Source organism: Homo sapiens, chromosome 4 (assembly GCF_000001405.40).
Source record: "Homo sapiens chromosome 4, GRCh38.p14 Primary Assembly".
NCBI lineage: Eukaryota > Metazoa > Chordata > Mammalia > Primates > Hominidae > Homo > Homo sapiens.
In genome coordinates, this window is record NC_000004.12 from 14,654,457 (window position 1) to 14,670,407 (window position 15,951).

The 15,951-nt window shown below is 41.5% G+C and overlaps 1 long non-coding RNA gene across 1 annotated transcript in view, besides 1 other annotated feature; it reads right to left on the reverse strand.

Annotated features, from left to right (window-relative positions):
- LINC00504 (long intergenic non-protein coding RNA 504) overlaps positions 1–15,951 on the reverse strand; it is a 417,705-nt gene that overhangs the window by 183,992 nt on the left and 217,762 nt on the right. The gene's annotated exons all lie outside the window — the stretch shown is intronic.
- Positions 10,932–11,491: an enhancer, noted in NCBI's record as "H3K27ac-H3K4me1 hESC enhancer chr4:14667012-14667571 (GRCh37/hg19 assembly coordinates)". NCBI's record gives its function as "activates a minimal SCP1, AML or CMV promoter by ChIP-STARR-seq in primed H9 embryonic stem cells {active_cell/tissue: H9 hESC(primed)}" and the evidence as "EXISTENCE:reporter gene assay evidence [ECO:0000049][PMID:30033119]".

Genomic DNA, 15,951 nt, shown 5'->3' on the forward strand with positions numbered 1-15,951 from the left:
CGCAGCCATATAAAGGAACAAGATCATGTTTTTTGCAGCAACATGGGTGGAGCTGGAGGCCATTATCCTAAGTGAGTTAACACAAGAACAGAAACCCAAATACCACATGTCCTCACTTATAGGTAGGAGCTAAACAACAAGCACATACGAACACAAAGCAAGGAACAGTAGACACTGGGGCCCACTTGAGGGTGGAGGGTGGGAGGAGGGAGAGAATCAAAAAACTACCCATCAGGTACTATGTTTATTACCTGAGTGGTAAAATAATCTGTACTCCAAAACCCAGCAACATGCAATTTACCCATGTAGCAAAGCTGCACATGTACCCCTGAATTTAAAAGTTTTTAAAAAATCCATATTTATGTTATAAAATAATTATTCATTAAACTCCCATTTTAAGAGAAGAAAAAAGAATGTAGGAAAACATAAAAGATCAGAACAATAGGAGATGGAAATCCTCAGTTGGAAGTCATTTCTTGTTCCGGAGACAGCTCCTTGAGGCTAACTATGAGAGCTACCATTTATTCTTTGCTAAGATGAACCAGGTTTCTCCTCTTTAATGTTCAAAATAGCTCTTTGAGGTGAATATTTATTATGCTTATTTTACAGATGAAGAAACTCCAGCACAGGGAGATTAAATAACTTGCCCAAAGTCTTTAGCTGGTGAATGATGAGGCTGAGATTCAATTCCATGTTTCCCTGATTAGGAATTCAGATCTCCCTCATGTATACACAGTGCAATCCCCATTCTTGCCAAATCTTAAGATTCTTTTACTGAAGAGATTTAAAACTGCCCTACCCTTCCTCTCTGTTCTGTGTCACCAGACATTGGTAAAAAAAACGCTACTTCAAACACTAACACTGGATCGAGACTAAGAAGCAGATCTTTACATATTTTCCACCGACTTTTTACTTCCTTGTATTTTTACGTATTTATGGCTTATCGATAAAGGATTGCAAGTTGAGTTTTTGAACGATGGGCCATAAACCCTCAGCCCTAAAATTTTTATTCATTTATCCCACAAACAATTATTGTAGCAAACATTGTGCCAGATACTTGATATACACAATGAATGGGTTCCTGGCTTCAAAGAATTGAAAACACAACTTATATGAAAAGAAAAGGAGACATAGACAGAGGTGAAAACTAGGAAGAGTGAGGTAAATATCGCATTGAGAGTCCACACAGTGTACTGTGAGGGCACAAAAATCTGTGCCAACACCAAATAAGATATCCTGGTGGTGTGACTAGGAAATGTTTTTAGACTTTGCAAATGGAAGAAAGGATTTGTCATCATTTGAGATGGGGGGTGGAGGAGTGGAGCAGGTTGTGATGGTGGGTAGGGTGGGAGGTTAATGAAAGGTCCAATTTGAATTGTCTATTAGACTCCCAAATAGAGAGGCAACATAAAATAGTTGAATGTTGAATCTGGAGTTTGGCAGAGAGGTCTGGACCCTTCGGCATATTGATAGTGTTTAAAGCCTGATGCTGGGTAAGATCATCAAAGGGATGAATTTGTAAGGGAAGAGATGGAGAACAAGCACTGAGCCTAGGGAGACTCCAGATGAAAAGATCAGGAAGCCAAGACACCAATACACGAAAATGAGAAAGAACCACCAGTAAAATAGAAATAAAATCAAGACACGTTACGTTATTTTGCTGTTGTTGTTTTTGTGGTAAAAGCCACATAACATAATGTTTATCATTTTAATTATTGATAAGTGTACTATTCAGTGGCATTAAATATATTTACAACATTGTGCAACTATCACACTGTCTACACTCAAACTTTCAAAATCATCCTCAATAAGAAAGCTGCACCCAATTAAAAGTAATTACCCTTTTCCCTACTTCTCACAACCTCTGGTATACTCCATTCTACATTTTGTCTCTGAATTTGCCTATTCTCAGTGCCTCATATAAGTAGAATCATATAACATTTTTTTCTACTGTACCTAGCTTATTTATCTAAGGATGTTTTCAAGGTCTATTCATGTCATGGCACATACAAAAATTTTATTTTTTGTCTGAATAATATTCCATTGTATGTATATATCACATCTTTTTTATTCTTTCCTCTCTTGATGAAAGCTTGGGTTGTCTCTACCTTTCAGATATTGTGAATAATGGAACTATGAACATTGGTGTGCAAGTATGTGTTCAGGTCCCTGCTTTTAATTATTTTGGATATATGAGTGAAATTTCTGCATCATATGGTAATTCTATGTTTAACCCTATGAGAACCCACAAATCTGTTTTCTGCAGTAGCTCCACCATTTTACACTCCCACCAGAAATACAAAAGTTTTTCAATTTCTCTGCATCCTCATTAACACTTTTTATTGCCTTTTTTCTTTTTAAAATTATAGTTATCCTAGTTGGTATAAAATGGTTTTGGTTTATGTTTCTCTACTAATTAATGATGTTAAATATCTTTTCATATGCTTATTGCTCCTTTGTATATCTTCTTCGGAGAAATGACTATTCTAGTCTTTTGCCTATTTTTGAATTGGATTGTTTCATTTTTGTTCTTGAAAGGTGCCAAGACCATTCTACGGGGAAAAAGACAGTCTTTTCAACAAACAGTGCTGGAAAACTGGATATCTACATGCAAAAGTATGAAAGCAAATTATGTAACCACATACACTAACTCAAAATGGATAAAATGCCTAAACTTAAGGGCTAAAGCTATAAAACTTCTTTTTTTTTTTTTGAGATGGAGTCTTACTCTGTCTCCAGCCAGGCTGGGGTGCAGCTATAAAACTCTTAGAAAATACTGGGGGGAAATCTACTGATATGCTTTGGATATCTGTCCCCTCAAAATCTCACATTAAAATGACTCCCAGTGTCAGAGGTGTGGCCTGGTGGGAGGCAATGGAATCATGGGAGTCAATCCCTCATGCATGGTTTAGAACCATCCCCTTGAGAGTGATAAGTGAGTTCTTGCTCAGTTAGTCACGTGGGATCTGGTTGTTTAAAAGTCTGGGACCTCCCCCTCCTCACTCCCTTTCTCACCATGTGACACCACCTGTTCTCCCTTCACCTTCCGCCATGATTGTAAGCTTCCTGAGTCCCTCCCCAGAGCCACATGCTGGAGCCCTGCTTGAAGAGCCTGCAGAACTGTAATACAAGTAAACTTCTCTATTTTTAATAAATTATCTAAGCTCAGGTATTTATAGTGATGCAAGTACAAACCAACACATCTATGTAACATTAGATTTCACAATGATTTCATAGGTATGATACCAAAAGCACAGACAACAAAAGAAAAAGAAAATCAAAGTGAACAAAATTTCATAAAAATTAAGAATTATTGTACAACAAAGGATCCTGTCAAGAAAGTGAAAAGACACCCTACCAAATTGAAGAAATGCATTTGTGAATTGTGTATCTGGGTTTAATAGCCAGAATATATTAAGAGGCTTTAGAGTCCTGCAAATCTTAAAGAAAGAATACCAAATGCTGCTGATAAATCAAGTAAGATCAGGACCAAGAACTGACCACTGGATTTTGCAATTTGGAGGTCAGTGGAGACCTTGAAGTGAGTAGTCTCCACAGAGGTATACGGAAGAAAGCCTACTTAGAGTGGTTTTAAAGGAAAAGAGGAGAGAAACTGGAAACAGAATAGACAGGTCTTTCAAGGTTTGCAGTAAAAGGAAGCATATGAATGGATAAAGACTCACAGGAAGAGGGGGTTCTAGAGGTTATTTCTAAGACAGAAATAGCACATGATTGAATGCTGATTACAATGACCTAACAGAGAGAAATGTCTATTGAGGATGTAAGAGAGAGGGAAGAATTGGTAAAGCAAAGTCCCCAGTGGAAGATAACTATATAGGGGAATGATACAAAGATTTTGCTTATTTTACTAAATGTGGGGAGGCAAGCTAGTTTATTTGGTGTCTGCCATATACTAGGCACCATGCTTTGAATTCCCTATTCTACATAATTTCTCAAAAAATGTCTTTTCCCAACAGCTCTTTTAGGCTGCTCCCAAGGCTCAAAAAGATAAAATACCTTGAGCTAGTGAACAGCAGAGCCGGAGCTTTAATCTTCACCTACCTCCGTCCAAAGACCATCCTCCTACCTCAACAAATGCTACCTTCTCTAAAGGAGGAACAAACAAACAACAATAAGCTTCTAGCAGGTGTGAAAGATGGGACAAATTAGGAGGCAGGAAGCCAATTAGGAAGCTCCTTTAATCATCAGAATGAGCAGTGGTGACTGCAAGGGCCTTAGCTGAGATCAGGCAGTGGTACTGAGTGGGAAACCCAGTAGGGAGAACTTTATGAGGTGGGCTTCTCTGATATAGGGAGATGTAAGGGGTGAAAGTGAAGTCAGGAGAGGTATGGAGGAGGGGAATAATCTAAGACACCTCCCAGCTTTCTCATGAGAGTAGACAACAGAGGAGAACAGGTAATTCTAAGGTTAATAAATGAGGATAGGAAATAAAGAATTCTCAAGGTGGGGCGCAGTGGCTCATGCCTGTAATCCCAGCACTTTGGGAGGCCAAGGCAGATGGATCACCTGAGGTAAGGAGCTCAAGACCAGCCTGATCAATATGGTGAAACCCCAACTCTACTAAAAATACAAACACTAGACGGGCATGGTGGTGTGTGCCTGTAATCCCAGCTACTCAGGAGGCTGAGATAGGAGAATTGCTTAAACCCAGGAGGTGGAGGTTACAGTGAACCGAGATCATGCCATTGCCCTCCAGCCTGGGTGACAGAGTGAGACTCCATCTCAGAAAAAAAAAAAAAAAAGAAAGAAAGAAAGAATTCTCAAAGGAAAAGAACATATTAATGTGTGTGGATTCACGGTTTTTCTTCCATCCTTGTGTGTGCCACAATTCTGCACTAAAAAACCTTAGACAAATTAAATGTAACACTTTAAATGAGGAAAAAGCAATTTAAGCGTCGGCAGCCCCCAAACCATAATAGGTTGAGAGAGACTCCAGGACAGCTGCTTGGTGGAAGAAAATTTATGGGCAGAGAACGTGATGTGCAGAGAATGGAAGTGAAGTAAAAAAATAGCTGGATTTGTTCCAGCATGGTATTTGCTTATTTGAACATGGTTTGAACAGTTGGCCTTCCTTGACTAACCAAAACGTGGTGATCGGCACCAGAGTAGGTTACAGTCTATTTGTACATCCAGTTAGGTTTCAGTTCACTGTGCATGAAGAAACTTTTAGACTGAACTGAAAATATGGACAGGGGATGCTTTAGGCTAAACTTAACAACTCTCTCCTCTGTCTTCCATCTCCCACTTTCGCCCCCTACTCACTGAGGAAGCATAAAGGTCCCCTCAGGAAAAAAAGTGATAACAGGAGAAGGACTATGTTATCATAAGGCTTAAGGTGCTGAGAAGAGGGGCAACTCTGAGAACAGGGCAGCAGAACAAGAGGAATGACAGAGGTGAATGTGCACAGCCCCTAGGAAACTGGCAGAGAAGAGAAAAGGCAAGGTTTTACAAAACATTAGTCATCTTTAATATGTATTGACCATTTATCATATGCAAAATACTATTCTGTGTGCATGTGTGTATATGTGTGTGTGCATGTGCATATGTATGTGAGTGTGTGTGTTGGGAGAGACCATCTTTAATCCTCCCAGTGTGGTAGGTGATTTCATTAGGCCCATTCTACCCTTGAAGATACCATGGGAGGCTGAAAAACTAGCTTTCCAAAAGACGATCATATTTTAATTTCTAGAACTTGTGAATGTTACTTTATGTGGCAAAAAAGTTTTTTACAGATGTGATTAAGTTAAGGACCTTGGGGAGAATTATCCTCGATTATCCAGGTGAGTACTAAATGCAATAAATCATATGTTTTCTTTTTCTTTTTTTTTTTTAATTAACTTTAAGTTTTAGGGTACATGTGCACATTGTGCAGGTTAGTTACATATGTATACATGTGCCATGCTGGTGCGCTGCACCCACTAACTCGTCATCTAGCATTAGGTATATCTCCCGATGCTATCCCTCCCCCCTCCCCCCACCCCACCACAGTCCCCAGAGTGTGATATTCCCCTTCCTGTGTCCATGTGATCTCATTGTGCAATTCCCACCTATGAGTGAGAATATGCGGTGTTTGGTTTTTTGTTCTTGCGATAGTTTACTGAGAATGATGATTTCCAACTTCAACCACGTCCCTACAAAGGACATGAACTCATCATTTTTTATGGCTGCATACTATTCCATGGTGTATATGTGCCACATTTTCTTCATCCAGTCTATCATTGTTGGACATTTGGGTTGGTTCCAAGTCTTTGCTATTGTGAATTGTGCCGCAATAAACATACGTGTGCATGTGTCTTTATAGCAGCATGATTTATAGTCCTTTGGGTATATACCCAGTAATGGGATGGCTGGGTCAAATGGTATTTCTAGTTCTAGATCCCTGAGGAATCGCCACACTGACTTCCACAATGGTTGAACTAGTTTACAGTCCCACCAACAGTGTAAAAGTGTTCCTATTTCTCCACATCCTCTCCAGCACCTGTTGTTTCCTGACTTTTTAATGATTGCCATTCTAACTGGTGTGAGATGGTATCTCACTGTGGTTTTGACTTGCATTTCTCTGATGGTCAGTGATGATGAGCATTTTTTCATGTGTTTTTTGGCTGCATAAATGTCTTCTTTTGAGAAGTGTCTGTTCATGTCCTTCGCCCACTTTTTGATGGGGTTGTTTGTTTTTTTCTTGTAAATTTGTTTGAGTTCATTGTAGATTCTGGATATTAGCCCTTTGTCAGATGAGTAGGTTGCGAAAATTTTCTCCCATTTTGTAGGTTGCCTGTTCACTCTCATGGTAGTTTCTTTTGCTGTGCAGAAGCTCTTTAGTTTATTTAGATCCCATTTGTCAATTTTGTCTTTTGTTGCCACTGCTTTTGGTGTTTTAGACATGAAGTCCTTGCCCATGCCTATGTCCTGAATGGTAATGCCTAGGTTTTCTTCTAGGGTTTTTATGGTTTTAGGTCTAACGTTTAAGTCTTTAATCCATCTTGAATTGATTTTTGTATAAGGTGTAAGGAAGGGATCCAGTTTCAGCTTTCTACATATGCCTAGCCAGTTTTCCCAGCACCATTTATTAAATAGGGAATCCTTTCCCCATTGCTTGTTTTTCTCAGGTTTGTCAAAGATCAGATAGTTGTAGATATGTGGCGTTATTTCTGAGGGCTCTGTTCTGTTCCATTGATCTATATCTCTGTTTTGGTACCAGTACCATGCTGTTTTGGTTACTGTAGCCTTGTAGTATAGTTTGAAGTCAGGTAGTGTGATGCCTCCAGCTTTGTTCTTTTGTCTTAGGATTGACTTGGCGATGCGGGCTCTTTTTTGGTTTCATATGAACTTTAAAGTAGTTTCTTCCAATTCTGTGAAGAAAGGCATTGGTAGCTTGATGGGGATGGCATTGAATCTGTAAATTACCTTGGGCAGTATGGCCATTTTCACGATATTGATTCTTCCTACCCATGAGCATGGAATGTTCTTCCATTTGTTTGTATCCTCTTTTATTTCCTTGAGCAGTGGTTTGTAGTTCTCCTTGAAGAGGTCCTTCACATCCCTTGTAAGTTGGATTCCTAGGTATTTTATTCTCTTTGAAGCAATTGTGAATGGGAGTTCACTCATGATTTGGCTCTCTGCTTGTCTGTTGTTGGTGTATAAGAATGCTTGTGATTTTTGTACATTGATTTTGTATCCTGAGACTTTGCTGAAGTTGCTTATCAGCTTAAGGAGATTTTGGGCTGAGACAATGGGGTTTTCTAGATATACAATCATGTCATCTGCAAACAGGGACAATGTGACTTCCTCTTTTCCTAATTGAATACCCTTTATTTCCTTCTCCTGCCTAATTGCCCTGGCCAGAACTTCCAACACTATGTTGAATAGGAGTGGTGAGAGAGGGCATCCCTGTCTTGTGCCAGTTTTCAAAGGGAATGCTTCCAGTTTTTGCCCATTCAGTATGATATTGGCTGTGGGTTTGTCATAGATAGCTCTTATTATTTTGAAATACGTCCCATCAATACCTAATTTATTGAGAGTTTTTAGCAAGAAGAGTTGTTGAATTTTGTCAAAGGCTTTTTCTGCATCTATTGAGATAATCATGTGGTTTTTGTCTTTGGCTCTGTTTATATGCTGGATTACATTTATTGATTTGCGTATATTGAACCAGCCTTGCATCCCAGGGATGAAGCCCACTTGATCATGGTGGATAAGCTTTTTGATGTGCTGCTGGATTCCTTTTGCCAGTATTTTATTGAGGATTTTTGCATCAATGTTCATCAAGGATATTGGTCTAAAATTCTCTTTTTTTGTTGTGTCTCTGCCTGGCTTTGGTATCAGAATGATGCTGGCCTCATAAAATGAGTTAGGGAGGATTCCCTCTTTTTCTGTTGATTGGAATAGTTTCAGAAGGAATGGTACCAGTTCCTCCTTGTACCTCTGGTAGAATTCGGCTGTGAATCCATCTGGTCCTGGACTCTTTTTGGTTGGTAAACTATTGATTATTGCCACAATTTCAGCTCCTGTTATTGATCTATTCAGAGATTCAACTTCTTCCTGGTTTAGTCTTGGGAGAGTGTATGTGTCCAGGAATTTATCCATTTCTTCTAGATTTTCTAGTTTATTTGTGTAGAGGTGTTTGTAGTATTCTCTGATGGTAGTTTGTATTTCTGTGGGATCAGTGGTGATATCCCCTTTATCATTTTTTATTGCATCTATTGGATTCTTCTCTCTTTTTTTCTTTACTAGTCTTGCTAGTGGTCTATCAATTTTGTTGATCCTTTCAAAAAACCAGCTCCTGGATTCATTAATTTTTTGAAGGGGTTTTGTCTCTCTATTTCCTTCAGTTCTGCTCTGAAATTAGTTATTTCTTGCCTTCTGCTAGCTTTTGAATGTGTTTGCTCTTGCTTTTCTAGTTCTTTTAATTGTGATGTTAGGGTGTCAATTTTGGATCTTTCCTGCTTTCTCTTGTGGGCATTTAGTGCTATAAATTTCCCTCTACACACTGCTTTGAATGCATCCCAGAGATTCTGGTATGTTGTGTCTTTGTTCTCATTGGTTTCAAAGAAGATCTTTATTTCTGCCTTCATTTCGTTATGTACCCAGTAGTCATTCAGGAGCAGGTTGTTCAGTTTCCATGTATTTGAGTGGTTTTGAGTGAGATTCTTAATCCTGAGTTCTAGTTTGATTGCACTGTGGTCTGAGAGATAGTTTGTTATAATTTCTGTTCTTTTACATTTGCTGAGGAAAGCTTTACTTCCAAGTGTGTGGTCAATTTTGGAATAGGTGTGGTGTGGTGCTGAAAAAAATGTATATCCTATTGATTTGGGGTGGAGAGTTCTGTAGATGTCTATTAGGTCTGCTTGGTGCAGAGCTGAGTTCAATTCCTGGGTATCCTTGTTGACTTTCTGTCTCATTGATCTGTCTAATGTTGACAGTGGGGTGTTAAAGTCTCCCATTATTAATGTGTAGGAGTCTAAGTCTCTTTGTAGGTCACTCAGGACTTGCTTTATGAATCTGGGTGCTCCTGTATTGGGTGCATATATATTTAGGATAGTCAGCTCTTCTTGTTGAATTGATCCCTTTACCATTATGTAATGGCCTTCTTTGTCTCTTTTGATCTTTGTTGGTTTAAAGTCTGTTTTATCAGAGACTAGGATTGCAACCCCTGCCTTTTTTTGTTTTCCATTTGCTTGGTAGATCTTCCTCCATCCTTTTATTTTGAGCCTATGTGTGTCTCTGCACGTGAGATGGGTTTCCTGAATACAGCACACTGATGGGTCTTGACTCTTTATCCAATTTGCCAGTCTGTGTCTTTTAATTGGAGCATTTAGTCCATTTACATTTAAAGTTAATATTGTTATGTGTGAATTTGATCCTGTCATTATGATGTTAGCTGGTTATTTTGCTCATTAGTTGATGCAGTTTCTTCCTAGTCTCCATGGTCTTTACATTTTGGCATGATTTTGCAGCGGCTGGTACCGGTTGTTCCTTTCCATGTTCAATGCTTCCTTCAGGAGCTCTTCTAAGGCAGGCCTTGTGGTGACAAAATCTCTCAGCATTTGCTTGTCTGTAAAGGATTTTATTTCTCCTTCACTTATGAAGCTTAGTTTGGCTGGATATGAGATTCTGGGTTGAAAATTCTTTTCTTTAAGAATGTTGAATATTGGCCCCCACTGTCTTCTGGCTTGTAGGGTTTCTGCCGAGAGATCCGCTGTTAGTCTGATGGGCTTCCCTTTGAGGGTAACCCGACCTTTCTCTCTGGCTGCCCTTAACATTTTTTCCTTCATTTCAACTTTGGTGAATCTGACAATTATGTGTCTTGGAGTTGCTCTTCTCGAGGAGTATCTTTGTGGCATTCTCTTATTTCCTGAATCTGAATGTTGCCCTGCCTTGCTAGATTGGGGAAGTTCTCCTGGATAATATCCTGCAGAGTGTTTTCCAACTTGGTTCCATTCTCCCCATCACTTTCAGGTACACCAATCAGACGTAGATTTGGTCTTTTCACATAGTCCCATATTTCTTGGAGGCTTTGCTCATTTCTGTTTATTCTTTTTTCTCTAAACTTCCCTTCTTGCTTCATTTCACTCATTTCATCTTCCATTGCTGATACCCTTTCTTCCAGTTGATTGCATCGGCTCCTGAGGCTTCTGCATTCTTCATGTAATTCTCGAGCTTTGGTTTTCAGCTCCATCAGCTCCTTTAAGCACTTCTCTGTACTGGTTATTCTAGTTATACATTCTTCTAAATTTTTTTCAAAGTTTTCAACTTCTTTGCCTTTGGTTTGAATGTCCTCCCATAGCTCAGAGTAATTTGATCGTCTGAAGCCTTCTTCTCTCAGCTCGTCAAAGTCATTCTCCATCCAGCTTTGTTCCGTTGCTGGTGAGGGACTGCGTTCCTTTGGAGGAGGAGAGGCGCTCTGCTTTTTAGAGTTTCCAGTTTTTCTGTTCTGTTTTTTCCCCATCTTTGTGGTTTTATCTACTTTTGGTCTTTGATGATGGTGATGTACAGATGGGTTTTTGGTGTGGATGTCCTTTCTGTTTGTTAGTTTTCCTTCTAACAGAAAGGACCCTCAGCTGCAGGTGTGTTGGAATACCCTGCCGTGTGAGGTGTCAGTGTGCCCCTGCTGGGGGGTGCCTCCCAGTTAGGCTGCTCGGGGGTCAGGGGTCAGGGACCCACTTGAGGAGGCAGTCTGCCGGTTCTCAGATCTCCAGCTGCGTGCTGGGAGAACCACTGCTCTCTTCAAAGCTGTCAGACAGGGACATTTAAGTCTGCAGAGGTTACTGCTGTCTTTTTGTTTGTCTGTGCCCTGCTCCCAGAGGTGGAGCCTACAGAGGCAGGCAGGCCTCCTTGAGCTGTGGTGGGCTCCACCCAGTTCGAGCTTCCAGGCTGCTTTGTTTACCTAATCAAGCCTGGGCAATGGCGGGCGCCCCTCCCCCAGCCTCGCTGCCGCCTTGCAGTTTGATCTCAGACTGCTGTGCTAGCAATCAGCGAGACTCTGTGGGCGTAGGACCCTCTGAGCCAGATGCGGGATATAATCTCGTGGTGCGCCGTTTTTTAAGCCCATCGGAAAAGCGCAGTATTTGGGTGGGAGTGACCCGATTTTCCAGGTGCCATCCATCACCCCTTTCTTTGACTCAGAAAGGGAACTCCCTGACCCCTTGCGCTTCCCAAGTGAGGCAATGCCTTGCCCTGCTTCGGCTCGCGCACGGTGCACGCACCCACTGACCTGCGCCCACTGTCTGGCACTCTCTAGTGAGATGAACCCGGTACCTCAGATGGAAATGCAGAAATCACCCGTCTTCTGCGTCGCTCACACTGGGAGCTGTAGACCGGAGCTGTTCCTATTCGGCTATCTTGGCTCCTCCCCCATATCATATGTTTTCTTACGAGAGAGGCGGAGAGACATTTTCTTATACATCAAGGAGAAGGTGATGTGAAAATAGAGCAGACAGAGGATTGAAGATGCTGGCCTTGAAAATGGGAATGATGTGACCACAAGCCAAAGAATGCTGGCAGCCTCCAGAATCTGGAAGAGGCACAGATTCTCCTGTGGAGCATCTGGAGGAAGATGGCCCTGCCGACATCTTGATTTTCCCCTAGTGATATTAATTTCAGATTTCTGGCCTCTAGAACTGTGGGAGAATACATTTCAGTTGTTTTAAGCCACCAAGTTTGTCATAATTTGTTGCAGCAGCCACAGGAGACTAATATAGATGCCAAAAGAGTTTAAGTAATTGGCCCAGTAAATTGCCAAGCTCTCTTCAAACCCAGGCAGTCTGACCTGGGCGGCCTTGAACAACTCCTCTGTCATCCTTCCTGGATGCTGGCCTCCTTCAAGTGTTTGCAAGAAACAAGTATAAGGATTGGAATTCCTGTTGGTCTTAATTCTTTAACAATAATACCATTCTGCCACTCATCTTGGGGGCCCCTGCTTGATAGCCATCACACACAACAGGCACATGGCCAAGTTCAGGCCAGTGTGGGAAGTTAGTGGGGCAGCCAGAATAAGAGCCCACAACTCCAGAGCCCAACAGAGTTTGTTTATTTTTGAACCCAATCTTCAAGAACTGCCTTGGAGCAGCTTTTAAACGGAGTCTCTGGGAGACTGGGGTGAATAATGCCTGTGAAGTCTGGAACCTTCCTATTTGCACAGCCTCAGATCTCCAGTCACCCCCCTAGAAGGAGCAAGCCCACCCCCAGGGCTGCTATGGGTCTCACCTTTACCTAAGGGCAGACGGTCCCATAAGGTTTTTTTGAGAGTTTCGCTCTTGTCACCCAGGCTGGAGTACAATGGCATGATCTCAGCTCACTGCAACCTCCACCTCCCAGGTTCAAGCAACTCTCCTGCCTCAGCCTCCCAAGTAGCTAGTATTACAGGCGCTTGCCACCACGCCCAGCTAATGTTTTTGTATTTTTAGTAGAGACGTGGGTTTTCACCATGTTGGCCAGGCTGGTCTCAAACTCCTGACCTCAGGTGATCCACCCACCTCAGCCTCCCAGAGTGTTGGGATTACAGATGTGAGGCACCGTGCCTGGCTGGTCCCATAAGATTTTAATGCTGTATTTTTATTGTGCCTTTTCTATGTTTAGACATATTTAGATACACCATTACTAACCATTGTGTTACAATTGTCTATAGCACTCAGTACAGTAGCATGCTGCACAAGTTTGTAACCTAGGAGCCACAGGCTATACTACAGGTGTGTCGTAGACTACATCACATAGCCATCTAGGTTTCTGTAAGTAAACTCTATGATGTTTGCACAGTGATGAAATCACCTAACAATGCATTTCTCAGAATATATTCCCGTTGTTAAGCTATGCATGACTATAAATAGAGTTTCCTTGGCTCCTCCCCTTCCCTGAACTGGAGACCTTCTTTAGTCAGGCTTTAGAATACAATTAAAACCCTTTTTAAAAGGTTTCACATTTCCATGAAACATCTCTTCTGTCACTGGAGATATGCCAAGTGTCTTGCTGTGAGATGTTTTCTCCTCTGCATTCCTAATCTCTTGATGGGCACTGGGGGGTGACACCACCACCACAGTATTAGCCCTGTCCACCCCATTTCCTAGCACACCCTCCTCCACTAATGCACATTTTGTTCCCATCACCAGGATCTCCTCAGCACCTCCTCTGTACAAACTGTTCCTCCTTCTCACAACAGTCTCTCTGTGTCCTCTAGGACACATGTACCCACCCCCGTCTTCCCTGAATGATTTGGTTGTACTCGCAGGGGCCACTCTGTTGCCACTTCCTCTGAGAAGCTCTCCTTGATCAAACTCCCACTAGGTCTGAGTGTGGTCCCCTCCCCATACTCCCATAGATCCTGTGTACATCCTGGTAATAACTTGTAGTGCCTGAAGGTGTAATAGTCTATGGATTGTCCACAAGCTCCTCAAGCAAGAATGTTGATTCACTTACCTGTCTTTTTTTTTTTTTTTTAATCCGGAATCCTGGCACATGCTAGGGGTTCACTAAGGATTTGTAAATCACTGGATGAAAGTACAAACAAGTGAATGGGTGGCTTTGGGTTTGCTTGTCTCTGAAGCCCTTTGTCCCTTGGCAGACAGTATAATGTGGCAATAATGTATCCTACTCATCTCTCTGTCCTTTATAGGGCCTTGCCCAGAGCAAGTGTTCAATATTATATTATTGATTGATTCACATCAAAAATTAATCTTGATTGAAGAAATTTCAGATGTTACTGATGGTATTAACCTGAGGGCTCTGAATTCTAATAACCTAGACCCAGAATTTATTTTCAAAACCTTATTCCTCACGATTTCCTCCAGTAAATCATTTCACTGCTTTCCAACAGGGCATACTCTTGAATATCCCTGTGTTTTTATCTATGCTTTTGTTTCTACCTAGAATTCACTCTGATGTCCAGCTAGAAAACTTCTTATGTTCCAAGGTGCAGCCAGACTGGAAAGAACTGCTCCTTTCCCCAGCCAGATTTCTACACTTTGCACCCACTTCTATTACAGTATTTTCTACATTTAAATCAATGTAGTTGTTTAAGTGTTGGTCCCATTGTGCTGTGAGATTTTTGAAAATACAACAGTATCTTATTGAGCTTTGTACTGCTGTGTCTAGAGCCTACTGAGGTGCTCTATAAGTGCTTGATGACTGAATGAATGAATGAATGTGTGATACCAGCTTGACCAAAACAGAGCTCAGAAGGTCACCCATAATGACTGTAACTTCAAGTTTTTACTGTCAGAGCCATTTCTCAGAAAAATAAATAAACTGAAACACACAAAAGGCAAGCAGCCAAGCTCAAAAGTATACAGTAAGTTAGTGGGGTAGCTAGAACAAGAACCCAAGCCTTGAGAGTCTAGCCGGATGCCTTTGTCACTGGTCAGCCCTGAGAGGCTACAGCTTGGTGTTCTGCCCACTTTCCTGTATTATCGGCCACAAGAGCAGCATTTTGGGTCCACCCAGGGGCTGAGTTAAGGTCCTGGTTGCCTGAAGTCCTTACACTCCTTTGACTCAGAAAAGAAAGGAACTCATTGTTCCAGCCAGATGTGTCCTCCCTAGGGAAGCTGCAGACAAACTTGATTAGCTCCCTCTTAATTGTCTATGAAATGCAAATGTGTCCCACTCACACGCCAGTGACATCCTTTGTCTGCTTCTGTGCAAGGGCCGATAATGCCAATTAAATGCCAAGGCTCACTTAACAGGTGTGCTGATTGCCACTGTGGGATGATTTACTGGAGGAACACTCCGGATATGAAACAGACAATAAAGAACATTCTGTCTCCTCCTGCGCTCCATCTTGGTTATTAGCTTTGAAATTTGGTCTTTGCTTTCAAGAATTAACTTTTTCCACCTAAAACAATGTCAGAATCATGTTTCACATGTGCCAGAAATGCAGCAACATTTCTGATCTGTAATCTCCCCATCACGACTGCACCTCTTCAGTGCAGTCTCTCCCAGTCTTTGCCCACCTCTACCCCCATATCTAACCACCCTACTCACAGCTTCCTCAGTGATCTTCCTGAGAAGGCACAGCTCTGTCTGTCATTTTCCTACTCAAAAGGCTTCAGTGACTTCCCTCTACCAGAGGAAAGAGCTTGTTTAATTATAAGGTCTGATGTCTGTGGCCCTTGATTTAGCCTAAATAGCTGATTAAACCAGTTACCCAGGAACCCATCTATTCAATCAAGTGCATATTCTTCAGCCAGGCCCTCAAAATCCTCTGTATGTTGGGCCCATCCTATTTCTACAGATAATCTCCCACTGCACCATCAGCCCAACATGAACCTCATACTCTACTTTTCACGTCTGATTAGAAGTAAACTTCTAAGTTGTTGCCTTTACTGCCTTCTTGTCCAGTAGCATAACCCTTCCTCCAGAGCCATCTCTTACCAATAACAAAACAAATCAAAACAAAAAACAAACAAACCAACCTTTTCTAATCCCCCTTGATCAGAGCTTCTTTCT